Source organism: Homo sapiens, chromosome 6 (assembly GCF_000001405.40).
Source record: "Homo sapiens chromosome 6, GRCh38.p14 Primary Assembly".
NCBI classification, from domain to species: Eukaryota; Metazoa; Chordata; class Mammalia; order Primates; family Hominidae; genus Homo; species Homo sapiens.
The window spans coordinates 75,323,114-75,338,658 of NC_000006.12; the positions used below are offsets into that span (position 1 = coordinate 75,323,114).

Below are 15,545 nucleotides of genomic sequence, written 5' to 3' on the forward strand. Positions count from 1 at the left end.
TTTTGCCATTTAGAAAACTCTTTATTAATGTGATTTTTTTTACATTTAATTAAATAATGGCAATTGGATTAAAAACCCAGGTAAATGAGTGGCATAGTAGTTCCATTCTGAGCTCCAAATGTGAGTTTAGAATTTAATAGCTCAACTTTATATTCCCAAACATTCTATGATTGTTGATGGTGCATACATTTGTCAAGATTCATCAAATTATGTAATTAAAATTGGTGAATTTTACTGTATGTAAATTATATCTCAATTAAAAACCAGAAAAAAGAAATTAAAACCCTGGAAAGTGTTCCGAGATGTCAGATAAAGGGAGAAAGATTGTAAACAAATATTACTAGCGAGTGACTTAAAATATGATAGAAAACATAAAATTGGTTATTAATCTTAAGGCAGAAAGAGGTGGAAGCACAGGTGGGGAAGGTAAAGAGAAGGGAGCTGACATTTCAGGTGGTGTTAGAGGGGCTGACAAGAAAACTTTTTCTGGTGAGGTAATGTTTCAGGTCCTAGACAATCTCTAGTCCTAATATTACTTCAAGAGGCTCTTAAAAGCCCACCCTGCCAGAGCAATCAGTCAAGAAAAAGAAATAAGGGGCATGCAAACTGGTAGAAAGGAAGTGACATGGTTTGGCTCTGTGTCCCCACCCAAATCTCATCTCAATTATAATCCCCATATGTCAAGAGATGGACCTGTTGGTAGGTGATTGGATAGGGGTGGTTCCCCCCACGCTGTTATAATAGTGAGGGAGTTTTCATGAGGCCTGATGGTTTTAAAAGTGGCAGTTTCCTCTGCACTCTCTTTCCTGCTGCCTTGTGAAGAAGGTACTTAACTTCTCTTTTGCCTTTCACCATGATTATAAGTTTCCTGAGGCCTCCCCAGGCCTGCAGAACTGTGAGTAAATTAAACCTCTTTTATTTATAAATCACTCAGTCTTAGGTGGTGTCTTTGTAGCAGTGTGAAAATGGACTAATACAGGAAGTCAAACTGTCAGTGTTTGCCAGTGATATGATCCTATACCTAGAAAATCCTAAAGACTCATCCAGAAAGCTTCTAGATCTGATTAATGAATTCAGTAAAGTCTCAGGATACAAAATCACTATACACAAATCAGTAGCACTGCTATACACCAACAGTGACCAAACTGAGAATCAAATCAAGAACTCAATCCCTTTTACAACAGCTGCAAAAAAATAAAAATAAAATAAAGCACTTAGAAATATACCTAACCAAAAAAAAAAAAAAAGGAAAGAAATATACCTAACCAAGGAGATAAAAGATCTCTACAAGGAAAACTACAAAACACTGCTGAAAGAAATCACAGATGATACAAACAAATGGAAGCACACCCCATGCTCAGGGACGGGTAGAATCAATATTGTGAAAATAACCATACTGCCAAAGGCACTCTACAGATTCAATGCATTTCCCATCAAAATGTCATCATCATTCTTCACAGAACTAGAAAAAACAATCCTAAAATTTATATGGAACCAAAAAAGAGCCCACATAGCCAAAGCAACACTAAGCGAAAAAACAAATCTAGAGGCATCAATTACCTGATTTCAAACTATGCTAGAAGGCCATATTCACCAAAACAGCATTGTACTGGTATAAAAATAAGCATGTAGACCAATGGAACAGAATAGAGAACCTGGAAATAAAGCCAAGTACTTACAGCCAACTGATCTTCAACAAGGCGAACAAAAGCATAAAGTGGGGAAAGTATACCCTGTTCAACAGACGGTGCTGGGATAATTGGCAAGCCGCATGTAGAAGAATGAAACTTGATCCTCATCTCACCTTATACAAAAATCAACTCAAGATGGATCAAAGACTTAAATGTAAGACCTGAAACCATAAAATCTCTAGAAGATAACATTGGAAAAACTCTTCTAGACATTGGCTTAGGCAAAGAGTTTATAATCAAGAACCCAAAAGCAAATGCAACAAAAACAAAAATAAATAGATGGAACCTAACTAAACTAAAAAGCTTCTGTACAGCAAAAGAAGTAATCAGACTGGGCATGGTGGTGCATGCCTATAATCCCAGTACTTTGGGAGGCCGAGGCCAAGGCAGGTGGATCAACTGAGGTCAGGAGTTCGAGACCAGCCTGGGCAATACGGTGAAGCCCTATCTCTACTAAAAATATAAAAATTATCTGGGTGTGGTGGCACACACCTGTAGCCCCAGCTACTTGGGTGGCTGAGGCAGGAGAATTGCTTGAATCTGGGAGGTGGAGGCTGCAGTAAGCCGAGATTGCGCCACTGCACTCCAGCCTGGGTGACAGAGCGAGACTCTGTCTCAAAAAACAAAACAAAACAAAACAGCAGAGTAAACATCCCACAGAGTGGGAGAAAATATTTGCAAACTCTGCATCTGACAAAGGACTAATATCCAGAATTTATAAGGAATTTAAATCAGCAAGAAAAAACAAATAATCCCATCAAAAAGTGGGCAAAGGACATGAATAGACAATTCTCAAAAGATGATATACCAACAGCCAACAAACATTTGGAAAAAATGCTCAACACCACTACTTATCAGGAAAATGCAAAATCAAAGCCACAATGAGATACCATCTTGCTCCTGCAAGAATTACCATAATTAAAAAATAAAAAAAAATAGATGTTGGCATGGATGTGGTGAAAAGGGATCACATCATGTGTGAACACTTTTTTACACTGCTGGTGGGAATGTAAACTAGTACAACCACTATGGAAAACATTATGAAGCTTCCTTAAAGAACTAAAAGTAGAACCACCATTTGATCCAGCAATTCCACTATTGGGGATCTACCCAGGGGAAAAGAAGTCACTATATGAAAAAGACACTTGCACATGCATATTTTAGCAGTGTAACTCGCAACTGCAAAAATATGAAACCAGCCTGAATGCCCATCAACCAACGAGTGGATAAAAGGTGAGATATAGATAATAGACAGATGATAGATGATAGATAGATAGATAGATAGATAGATTAGATAGATAGATAGAGAGATAGATAGATATACACACACACACACACACACATCATGAAATACTACTCAGCCATAAAAAGGAACAAAATAATGGCATTCACAGCAACCTGGATGGAGTTGGAAACCATTATTCTAAGTGAAGTAATTAAGGAATAGAAAACCAAATATCATATGTTCTCACTTATAAGTGAGATCTAAGCTATGAGGACGCAAAGGCATAAGAATGATACAATGGACTTTGGGGACTCAGGGAAGTGGGGTAGAGGGGTAAAAGATAAAAGACTACACATTGAGTTCAGCGTACACTGCTCGGATGATGGGTGCACCAAAATCTCAGAAATCACCACTAAATAGCTATCCCTAAAGAACATATCCCTGAACAAAAAACCACCTGTTCCCCAAAAACTATTAAAATAAAATAAAGCTTAAATAAAGCCCACCCCAACTCCAATATTTGCTAATACCTAATTTTGACAACATATGAAATAAAAGGAAAGGTCTCCTAGGTAGTGTGAGAGCTTTATTATTTCATTTAATTTTCATTCCCTTTGAGCAAGGCAATACTATACCATTTTATAAATAAGGTAAATCATTATTTAACTTAAGAGAACATGACTAAGAAGGTTGGGATTTTGAATCAGATCTATTTGCACAAACACTGTGCTTTCATAACAATGCTATTGCTCAAATGGATATTGCCTGGACAGCTCAGGTTTGCCAGACTCTGTTTAGGTTAACTTCATCTTGCTTGATTCAGTTTATCTTAGAATTGTCAAGATGCCCCTTGGACTCTATTTTGTCACCCAGAATAACAGCTTATACCTAGCATTGTGTCAATGGCAAGATGACCCCAATTATTAATTAAATAGGTCAATGCACAGAGCCTTTCAAAGCACTCTCCAGATCTCCCTCCTGCTGACATCAATCCATTCAGTAGCGTGGACATTGTCATTCAATTAGCTGTGAGCCCACTGAGCTGTTCATTCTTTATCTCTTCTGAGCTCCCAATCTTCCCCATGAATCTGTTCCAACCACATCTTCCTCAAATCAGTCACCTACACCCGCTTCTTCCAGATGCTTAGGACTGAAATTTAGAGCCATCTTGAGTAACATCCCTGCATTCAATTCATCAGCAAATCTTGTCAATTCTGCTTTCAAAATATATCCTGAATCCAGTTACTTCTCACTTCCTCCATTGCTATCCCCCTGGCCCAAGCCACCATCATCTCTTATCTGGATTATTGCAAGAGCCACCCAGTCTGACTCCCAACTTCCACTCTTGTCCACCCACAGTCTGTTCTCTTCCCAGAAGCCGGAATGATCCTAAAAGAGGGTAAATCAGATCATGTCACTCTGCTTGTAAAAGGAAGGAGAAACGGGAAAGTGAACACAGGAAACAGGTAGGGCAGGATCAGTATTTTAAGATTTTTTTGTGTGTGAATATATATATATGAATATATATATATAAGTATATATGCATATATATAAATATAAAATAAAAAGGTCAATGCACAGAGCCTTTCAAAACACTCTCCAGATCTCCCTCATATATATTTAAGAAACTAGTTTGTTTTTCCTATATAAACATTAAGAGATATATATTAACGTTTCTTCTTAATTTAAAACTTTGTTTTTCCTTATTCTTTATAAATTAATAAATGAAAACATGCTACTATTGATAAATAAAGAGGTAACTATAGAATACCACCATTTTGAAATAATGGATGTAGGTAATGCTCATCAGTGTTTCTCAAAAAGAGACAGCCAGACATTATATACAAACCTCCACCCACGAAAGATTCTCTTAACAAAAAAAACCCTGAACCTGAATCAAATCAAGCTCCTATAACTACTAATTACTAGTTTAAAGGAAAGATAGGAGCAAGGAACTGCTAAATGACCTCATGATGATGCAATCAGAAAAATCCAAAATGTGGGCAACTACATAGGATAAACAAACTAGTTTCTTCAATCAATAAATTGCAAGATAAAATGGGAGCAGAAAGGGGAACCTATGGATTTTTTTAAAATTTAGAAGACATATCAACCAATTGTAACCTTTTGGATTCTTATTCAAACTGCTTTTTTAAATGAGATAATTGGAAAAATTATATTGTTGAGAAATAATTATTAAGTTTTAGGTTAGATAATGGATTATGGCAAGAGTCCTTTATTTTTAAGTCCTTATTTTTTAGAAGTACATATTGAAATATTTGTGAATGAAATTATGTATCTGAAATTTATATCAAAATAATTCAGGGGGGTGAAAAATAGATGAAACCAGACTGGTCATAAGTTAATTAATTGTTGAAGATTATTGATGGGTACATGGGTGTTCATTATACTGTTCTCTTTACTTTTGTAAATGTTTGAAATTTTCTGTAATAATGTTTTTGTTTGTTTGTTTGTTTCTTTTGAGATGGAGTCTCACTCTGTCACCCAGGCTGGAGTGCAGTGACATGATCTCACTGCAACTTCGGCCTCCCGGGTTTAAGCAATTCTCCTGCCTCAGCCTCATGAGTAGCTGGGATTACAGGCATGCACCACCACGCCTGGCTAATTTTTGTATTTTTAGTAGAGATGGGGTTTCACATGTTTGCCAGGCTGGTCTCAAACTCCTGGCCTCAAGTGAGCCACCCACCTCAGCCTCCCAAAGTACTGGGATTACAGGCATGAGCCACCGTGCCCAGCTAATAATGTTTTTTTAAAAAATCTCCTTTGTAATATTTAGCTCGCCCCTCTCACCTCCAGTCTCAGCTCCCTTGGCCTTTGGTTGTATTTTCACTTTCCTCACAGTGCCATGGAACTTTCACATCTGTCTGTGACTGTGGGTGATTCTCTTATTCCCTTCCATGTTTATATAATTTAGTTTGTTAGACTTTTACTTTTCTTCCTTATTGGAATCCATTTGATACTTAGTCAAACTTATGCCAGATAAAGTATTCTCAGTCTGTCCTATTCCACAGATACTTGTTAATTTATCTTTCTTCTTATGGTCTAAGGACAAACTGTTTGGGAGAAGGAAATGGGAAGTGAGAATTTTTTTAAAGCTTATCCTAATTATCCATTCTTGTGATAACCACCATCCTTGGAACACTTGTCAATCTGTGCTCCTAAATATTTAAGGGGACATCTGCCTGTATTCATTCTTACCTCTCTTTCTTGGAATAAAGTGGTGTAAGATTTCAGGGCTCCTTTTGCCCAACATTCTTGACACTCCCACTTTTCAACCACATTTCCAAATTTATCAGCATTAGCTCCAGAGCATCAGTTGTCTCTTTGACTCCTTAAGATTTTGTCACTTGTCCTCATCTTAATCCATCGGACCCCGTTTTGCAACACAAATGTCACCAAAAAGTCATCCTAAGCTTGTTTCTTAGCCAGACCATGTTAATTTCCTTCTCAGAACACTATTTTTGCTTTTCTTCAACTCTCCCCTTGGGTACGCCTCTCTGTCTTCCAAGACAGAGGGCAGGTTAAAACTCATAAGGGCATGATAGTAATTAAAGATGAATGAACCTCAAAAGAGTCAAGCTTACATGTAGTTTGAAGTCTTTAGTCACAATGTGTTTTTTCCCAACTAGAGTACAGTATAGAGCTAAGCACCTTGTTAAAATAATAGGGCATGGTTTAACCAAATAACTCAGAAAGGGCATTACTTTTTAATTTTTTAAATTTTTAATCTTTAATTTTTGTGGGTACATAGTAGGTATATACACTTATGGGGTATATGGGATATTTTGATACAGTCATACAATGTGTAGTAATCACATCAGGGTACATGAGGTATCCATGACCTCAAGCATATCCTTTGTGTTACCAATGATCCAATTATAGAATGTTACTTCTGAATAAATTACCTCATTTCCTCAATATGGTGATTATTATTATAGTTATCCAGAATTAAGGTAATGGCCCTAATATACTGTGCAGGGCTGGGATGAGAGAGAAGTGGATGAGGGTTGGGTTGTACAACTGCAGAGTCAGAGCCCGTCTTCACTTGAAATTTTGATATTTTCTTCATCGTGGATTTTTTGCATTAATTTTGATACTTTTTAAATAGTTCATTAAAATATAGTATATCTTGATTACTGAGTTTTTTGGCATCACCTTAAATTTTGCACCCAAGGTGAGAGCCTCACTTGCCTCACCCTAGTTCCAACTCTGATTTCTGAGTGCCAGAGAATCATTTTTTATAAAGAGATAAATGGTGAATCCTTCCCAATAGGACAAAAACTTTTGAGCTTTGTTTTTGTTTTGTATTTCTTAGCAGTGAAGATGAGTTTACAAAAGCCCTCGTACACTTTTTTTCTCCTCTTGTCTTATAAAGACCAGCAACGTTTTGGAGCCTGTGATCTCAAATTTTTGACCCTAGCCCAGTGCAGGAAGGCCTATTTCACATAGTCCCACTCTAAAAAAGAACTTGGTGATAAAAAAAATTGAAAGAGAAGAGAAAAAATCTGTAGACCTGTTGCTAGCAGCTTTTGTGAACTGCTTTTTCTTCATAAGAGAAGATCCTGTAGTTATATTTATGATTTTAAGCTATAAAACTATTATACATCCTATAAATTTTTAAAAAATCCAGTAATTTAATTACATTTCCTTTGCTAGTATAATTCAAGTAATTCAAATGGCAAACATACAAAGCTCAGGCAAATTATCATAAATGAAGTTTTATTTTTCATCAGATTTCGAGGGGGTTATGTATAATTCTGCTCTAGAATAGGAATATTGATGATGGGCCTTGGAACTAGTTGTTGAAAATTATAAACTAAGGACCTGCATTATGGACTCTCTGTGGGTTAGCCCAACAACCCACAACAAACTAAACTGATTGTGAAGTTTAATCCGTAGTAATTTACCTTTAAAACCCATAGATGGCAAGAACTGAAAACCATGAAAAGTTCATGACTAATAACAAATTATACGTCTTGGAGATGATTACATTTCTTACTATCAGGTAAGCAGAAACTTGTAGGTATTTGCAAACTAGGTAGCAGCTAGACTATATTGTAAAATACTGATTTAGTCTTCAAGAAAATCTGGTAACATGCTAATTTAAATTTATAAATGCTATATATGTTGTAAAATAAATTGCTCAATACGTAACTAGTAAATACCACTTAGTCACAATAAAAATTAAAGTCTAGGGAATTGTTAGTTGTTTGCTCATATGAGCCACAGAAATGGCTGGTATTTTCTGATAATTTGCTGACCATCCAGGAGGCCCATATTTGAGATTCACTGAGAGGGAACTCTCTGATTACACACTCTAGTATGAAGCTCCCTGACTCATATAGAATATAACCATGATTCATTAATTAACTCACTAATTCAACAAAGATGGGCAGAATGTCTCCTCCCCGTTGTCAGTGTATTAGGGGATAGGAATAAAAATATATATATTGCAAGGCTATGTTAAATGCCATTTATCCTTTAAATATAGGCTACTTGGGGACACCCAAGGATGGGGACATGGATGGAGGAAGTAGTTGTTCAGGGCTTTTGCAGTTGTCGGCCTTCCCAATACCCTTCTCCTGTTGTCAGGCGTATAACCCATGTGGCATATTTGTCAGAACTGGAAAGATCTCCTTCCTTTCTATGGAATCAGTGCCATGCTGCGACTCTATTTCAGCTCCCATTCCTTCACTAGTCAGGCACCCTTGTACACTACACCTTGTAAGCTACAACCTGCACGACTGCAGTGAATTGAAGGTTTATATCCCCTCACATTCCAAAATTTGTATATTAAAACCCTAACCCCCCATGCGCTGGTATTAAGAGTTGTGGCCTTTGATTGGTGATTAGGTCAGAAAGGTGGAGCCCTCATGAATGGGATTACTACCTTTAGAAAAGGGATCCCAGAGGGCTCTCACACATGAGGATATAAGGAAAAGACAGAAGTCTGCAACCAGGAAGAGGACCCACACCAGAACTTGACTGTGCTGGCACCCTGATCTCGAACTCTCAGCCTCCAGAACTGTGAGAAAAAAAGATTTTGTTGTTTATCAGCCACCCAGCCTATGGTACTTTGTTATAGCAGCCTGAATGAACCAAGACAGCAGTTCACAGTAGTCTCATGGGCTCTTCTTTCTCAACCTTAAGGTTTCTGTTCTTATGTCCTCTCCCCAAAGAGGACAACAATATGCCTTTTATTGTGTTTTCCTATTTTCTATGTTTCAAAGTACTTTTCAAACACCCACTCCAATTGGTCAGATGAAATACTTTTAAAATAAGAAAAAGCAGGTACTATTCTTTCTTTTTGATAATGTGTATAATCAGCCAGGTGAATGAATTTACCTAATAATTTTCACTAGGAACAGGAAAAGCCATGAACCATACAAGTTTGTCACTTAAATGTGTGACCTTGGGCTCTCCCTTCCAGGTGGCCCCTTCACCTTCTCTCCCCAACTCAAAGAGGCCTTCCGTATCCCATTCTTAAGGAATGTATTGCCCAGTTCATCACACCTAATTATGGGATGCTATATTTAGGAAATGCATATTGCCACAGGAAATTCTCTCCCTTGGAAAATAAGTTAAATGGAAGGATTCCCTGGGGGAAGCAGGGAGGATATTAGAAGCAGGTAGGTTTTTCAGTCCCTGAATTCACAGTATGAGGGTCTCCCATGTGTGAGGGTCTCCTTCCACATACACCTCCCACAGTGTGAGGAGCCTTTCCCCCATGGAAGGCACTTGTGGTCACACAGAACATAACAGGAGGAGCTGGCAGCATGAATGAGGTTTTCTGAGACTAGTCAAAGAAGTTGGAGACAATCCATAAAGGTACCATACACCTCATTTTACTCCACACACACTTTTATACAGTGCTGGGCAAAGTCATGGTTTTAAGCTTATACAGTATGGGAGCTCACAACATAAAAGTATTTTACTGTAAAGCTCTTAATTAAGATACTACTAATCTAATTTGTCTCTTGGGTAAATCCATTTTCACAAATAAAATTTGTTTAAAATAACTTAGACATAACTTAGGTAGCAAATTAATTTAAGTATATACATCACTTATTGGTGTGTTTTCATTTACTTACTCAGAAAAGTAAACCTCTCCCTTTTTACAATGGCAGTTGGGTTTATTGCCATGACATTTAAAGGTCTTTTAAAAAGTTTTAAATATAAGCTTATGTAAAATTTTGCTAAATTTTTTTTGAATTATTATGTTAACATTTATTTAATAATTATCTCACCCAGTTTTGGAAAACCTTTAAAACTAATTCAAAAAACTAAATGTTGAAACAATAAACAAAACTCCAAAACCTCAGACTTAATTTTGTATTGATCTTGACTATTGTTAATCTAGAAAAAAGACAAATGTGAGCATCCTTCTGTGGTGGAAAGGATACTTAATTTTACAAGTAAACAGAAGTTCATCCAGTCACATGGAATTAAGAATCCAGGAAGATCAATGTAGTGAACCCAAGATTTTCATCATAGTTGAACTCAAGATATTCATCACTTTAAACACAGAGACAAAACAGTATTAACAACCAATGTTACACAAATTAAATCTACACAAATGAAAACCATACCATCTGCCCCCATTTCAAATTTCTATAAAACGGGTCATGTGAATCTAAAATCACACTATAAAAATTTGGTTTTGGCCAAATGAAGTTCTTTTGTGAAGGACTCACAGATCTTTCAGCCCTACTGAGCACTAAATCAAGCTATTTATTTTTATACACTCTGCTGAATTTAGACAATGTTTTTTGGCATTTTGAAAAATTACTAAAGTTCAAGTTTTTACACAATTGTTTAACATAATCCAAACTTTACTCTCATTCCCACTTTGAAATCAAACCTCCTATTTACTTTATTATTCTTGTTATCACAGCCACACTGAGTGTTTCAGAACAAACACGGCTTTCTTTGGATCGCTATGCATTCTAATTCATTGCCAACTTTTACAAGCCTTTTCCACACATGCAAAGAGAGAGCTGCAGAAAATCCACATGACAACAACAACAATAACAACAAACCTTTGGGAAGAATATTTTACTTGAAATTAGTTGCTTGCTCATCAAGAAATCATACACTAGAAGATACATTTACAGTATATAGAAAGGCTGACTGTTAAAAGCCTTCAGAACACATTAGTAGGACTGCTGGTAGTAAGACAAGAGATTTTTCAGTTCTGGTACAAACTCCCCAAGGTTTCTGTAGGATGAAATTACTTCCCCCACCATAGAAAACCAGGAGCACTCTTCATACCATACCAAGGTGCATCTTGGCCAGTTTCAATCAAGGATTCTGAGGCATCAAGGAAAGTCACAATGAGCTGGTAATTTTCAAGGCTTGTCACCATCCACACTCAGTAAAACCTGTAGCTGCAAACTGAAAGGTTGTCGAGTTCTTACAGCCCTTGTCAGATTAGTCAGGGCTCTACAAATGTCCAAACCCAGCTTCCAAGATGCTCTTTGCAGTAACACTTAGAAATGAGTTTACTGCCAAGTAAGCCTATTAACAAATGAAATGCGCATGGACAAGAGTAACTAACATTGCTTAAATCAAAACAGATCTTGACTTCCTTACCTTAATACTAGGAAGCATAGTAGCTTTGTTTTTGTTTTTGTTTTTTTATAAGGGGGTACTGAAGTTTGTTCAACAGCAGCAGGCCTTGCTCAGCCCCCTACTCCACAGGGAATTAACCGTCACATTCCAGCCCTGTCATCAGAACAATGAAAGGTGAATGTTGTGCAAAACAGCTTGGGAACACTAACTGATGATGTCATTCCTCCCTTATATGGCTCATTATTGTGCAGATTTACTTTGGTCTGTGAGAAGGGGTGGAGCTGCCCAAGACTGGAAGGGAAGGCAGCTCTTAAGAAGCAAAGCAAGTGAATGGGAATTACGCTCCACACTAAGGGAAATGCATTGGGAGAGGGATACATTTGGGGAGGAAGAATGAAATAAAGAAAAGATATGCATAAAATGTCAAATGGGCCTCACTCCCGATTTCTCAAACTAGCTAAACTCTATACAGTTCTATTCAGCACATACTGGAATTTAAATAGGGATCCCACTAGAGCCTAATCTATGATTCAGCCAACAGGAGAAAATTCATGTTTCAACTAAAATGCCAGTTAAGGTACATGGTATCTAAATGAAAACACTGCAGTATGGCTACAGAATGCCAAGTGCCTTTCATTTTAAAAATCATTTCATCTTTACAAAATATTTTTACTTGAATTTTTTTCCCTAAGTGTTTTTAAATGGCAAAAACTGCTGTCTGCAAAAACAAAAGTAGGTGAATACATTCAGCTAAAGTTAAAGAAGTGTCTGTTTCAGCATTTATACAAAATGTTTTCAAAAGCTTCTATCATCTTCAAATTAGTTGTCCCTCTTCTCTGTTTTTTCTTTTCTTTTTTTCCCATTGTTTCTTCCTCCCTTCCTTCCTCCCTCCCTCCTTCCCTTCATTCCTTTTTTCCTTCTCCCTGAGAGAGTGTATGAGTGATAAATCTAGTCAAAAAGCCATTAGGTAAATTAAACATTCCAGTATAATTTTTTCTAAGCCATATGCATAGAAATGTATGTCATTTATGTTATGAAATTTCATTTCAATTACAGAATAAAAGCACGATACCAGATAAATTAGTCAAATTAACTTTAAGGTTAACAGAATTAAATGTTTGCAGAGCATTTTTAAGCCTTCAGATATCTTTTATACTACATAAGTATAAGCCATTATGTTATGGCATAGAAAAGAATATGAAAAAAAATAAGGTCAAGACCATTGCTTTCTTACATCCCTAATGTTCAGTCATGCCCTTTGCTTTAAGAATATGTCTAACCTCTCAATAGCCTGAACTGAATATAATAATTACTTCATGTTTCAAGGTTGTAGTACTAAATAAGTGTGTTTTCATTACAGGGTTATAATCAAATAATGTAGCTTTCTGTAAAAGTTACATAAAGCAATGTTCATTGTTAAGGTAAAATTACAGATACTAACCAATTAGTTATTGTTTTGTTTTTTGTTGTTGTTTTGTTTTTTAGCTATTTTTTAATATGGATGGGGAAACTGACATTGAAGAAGAAAACAAGAAACTATTGCCACTGCCTGGCAAGGCTGCACTAGTGCTGGGGGAAGAGGCGTCTTGGCAATTGATTGATAGACTTAATCTGGGCTTGGCACCTACTTGGAAGGTAACTAAAGGGTATATTTTGTAACTCTGTGGCTTCAGTTAACTCAGCTGTATAATAGGGATATGGGTTTTAACTTACAGGGCTGTTATGAGAATTAAATAAAATAATGTAAGTCAGGGCCACAGAATCTGATGCATAGTGGGCCCACAATATATAATATGTTTCTGCACAGTTTAATGTTGATGATGGTAGGCAGTTTGTGAAAATATAAACTTGTGGTCTAATTTTGACAGGCAACATAAACCCATGTGAAAAAAAAAAGGGAATCAAGGGGTCAGGACCGATTATACAATCAAGCGGCAGGCATCTTGTACTCAGTTTGCTTCTAGTGATTCAAACTTGAATTATAGTCCTGGGGAGGCATTGCTTATGTTCAAGCCATATTAAATCAATATTTAGAGACAAATGATAATAGCAAGGGGAAATGTTTTATTACCTTTAAAAAACCTTTTTTAAAAATACCACAAATGTCAATCACAGACAGGTTTCTTTTCCCTCCCTGTTTAATACCACTAAACGACTACATTCAAAGTTAATTTAAAACTCCACTATTGAGACTCACTCAAAAAGGCTATATTTATTATAATTAATTAACACCCCCTTGGCTAAATAACACTGTTTATTAGAAGCCTCTTGGAAGCCAGAGATGTTTAAATGGTGCTATAACCCTTCTTAGAGTCACAGTAACAAGAAACGTCCCACTATTAGCTTCTGAAGGGCAGGGTTCTTTCTGTGTCTTTCTGTTTTCAGGAAGTATCTTGTATTCACTCATTCAACAAATACTTAATTGGTTGCCCACCAAGGACCAGGCATTGTCTTAGACACTGGTGCCTAATTTTTTTTTTCTATGAATCATATACAACCTTTCTTCAACTCCTCAGCACATATTAACTGAAATGTATACCCCAATGTAATATAGTGCATGTGGAAAGTATTATTGTGATTATAGGTCCCCAGGTCGAGTCCTAAGTCCACTATGAGTGGGAATCTTCTAAAAACAATTATAACTTTTTAAAGCACTGGATCCTAGAGACAGAGTATCCAGGCTCCTATTATCCTTTAAGCATCTGGTTGCCATGAAGCATCATGACCTGACCAAGTGACTCTTTAAAACAAGTCTTCCTTCAGTTGCTTCTTTTTCAAATTGATAAGGAAAAGAGATGTAAAGAGGACATGATTCCTGAATTATGAAAAAGATCTAGTTTAGCATATGGCAAGTTGGAAGTTTCTCAATGTATGTGGGCAATCACTGGGCTTGCCAATGCAATATGCTTTCATCTCACAAAACTTTTTTTTTTTTTTGTAGCAGAGCAGGGTGTGCTCCAGAAATTCAAGAAGTGGATGCATGGCAGGGCAGGAAGAAGAACATCATAGGATACACTAGAAGCACTGCACTTGCCTTCCTTAGTTGGGGCAGAGGTGCATTCTTCCAGGATTCCACCTTGGAAGCTTGGGAATGGTGTATCAGGTCTGGATAATAGTTCTTCCCACAACTATGCCTTCTTCCTTGGGAATAACATAATCCAAAACTTACCGTATGTTACAGATTCCGGGAGAAGTGAGAAAAACCTGAGAGCACTGGAAAGCTGAGTAAATCAGAAAGTACTGGAGGCAGAAATGGTAGTGTAGATAAGAGCACTTTCCTGATTTGAATACAGGTTTTTTACAGAAGTTGTTGTGTGTTATTTAGTCACATTGTACTAAATGACAAAGACTAGGTAGTCTAGAGCATTCCTCCCCTCTAAGAGCACGCTGGATGTGGTGCAGTCATAGTCCACCATTTCCTGTTTCCTTCATACTTCAGGTCAAATGAATGTGCTTCCTTAAGCATTTAAGAATAAAATAAATAAAAGGAACTCTCAGTGACCTCTTATATGATATTAGGAGCTATGCAGAAAATATTTTTTAAAATCCTTAAGTCACAGCATTTCTGAACTTAAGAGGAATGAGTTAAGACTAAGTAAAGTTGACCTCTTGTTTGCAGTTAAAGCTCACATTCAGCCCCTGAATAATATTTGAATAGTTTCTTGGCTAAGAGTTCACATCCAAGAGCTGAATATGTTATGCATTGAACATGAAAGACCCAAACTTTGATTAATCTTTTCTGCTCAAACTTTTCACCACCATGAAGCACTTTCCAAACACAAGCATTCTTGGAAAAAGAGTGCGCACACAGTCAAAGAGCCAGAGAGGAGCAACCTCCAAACATTGAAAACACCACCTTCCCAAGTTTCAGCCTCCTCTCTGGAGTCCAAGATTTGTAATGCTAATCCGACTACCTTCTTCCACTCTAGAAAAAAAGTAAAAATACGAAAACAATGTAGTTATTCACTGTAGTGATACGAGACAACACATTTTTCCAGCACTTTCCTTTCTTAGCTTTTTCTTGGTGTATAAGTTTA

At 36.8% G+C, this 15,545-nt stretch overlaps 1 protein-coding gene across 8 annotated transcripts in view, besides 2 other annotated features; it reads right to left on the reverse strand.

Moving 5' to 3' along the window:
- The window catches only part of FILIP1 (filamin A interacting protein 1), a 201,942-nt gene that overhangs the window by 31,255 nt on the left and 155,142 nt on the right, over positions 1–15,545 (reverse strand). For 2 of the 8 annotated variants that reach the window (XM_047418648.1, XM_011535756.3), the window contains exon 1: positions 11,530–11,677. The exons of the other annotated variants lie outside the window; for them this stretch is intronic. The gene's annotated coding sequence lies outside the window, so the exon portion shown is untranslated. Of the gene's footprint in view, positions 1–11,529; positions 11,678–15,545 lie in introns of those variants that run through there. 8 annotated transcript variants of the gene reach the window in all.
- Positions 10,942–11,596: an enhancer, noted in NCBI's record as "OCT4-NANOG-H3K27ac hESC enhancer chr6:76043771-76044425 (GRCh37/hg19 assembly coordinates)". NCBI's record gives its function as "activates a minimal SCP1, AML or CMV promoter by ChIP-STARR-seq in naive H9 embryonic stem cells {active_cell/tissue: H9 hESC(naive)}" and the evidence as "EXISTENCE:reporter gene assay evidence [ECO:0000049][PMID:30033119]".
- Positions 11,597–12,251: an enhancer, noted in NCBI's record as "OCT4-NANOG-H3K27ac hESC enhancer chr6:76044426-76045080 (GRCh37/hg19 assembly coordinates)". NCBI's record gives its function as "activates a minimal SCP1, AML or CMV promoter by ChIP-STARR-seq in naive H9 embryonic stem cells {active_cell/tissue: H9 hESC(naive)}" and the evidence as "EXISTENCE:reporter gene assay evidence [ECO:0000049][PMID:30033119]".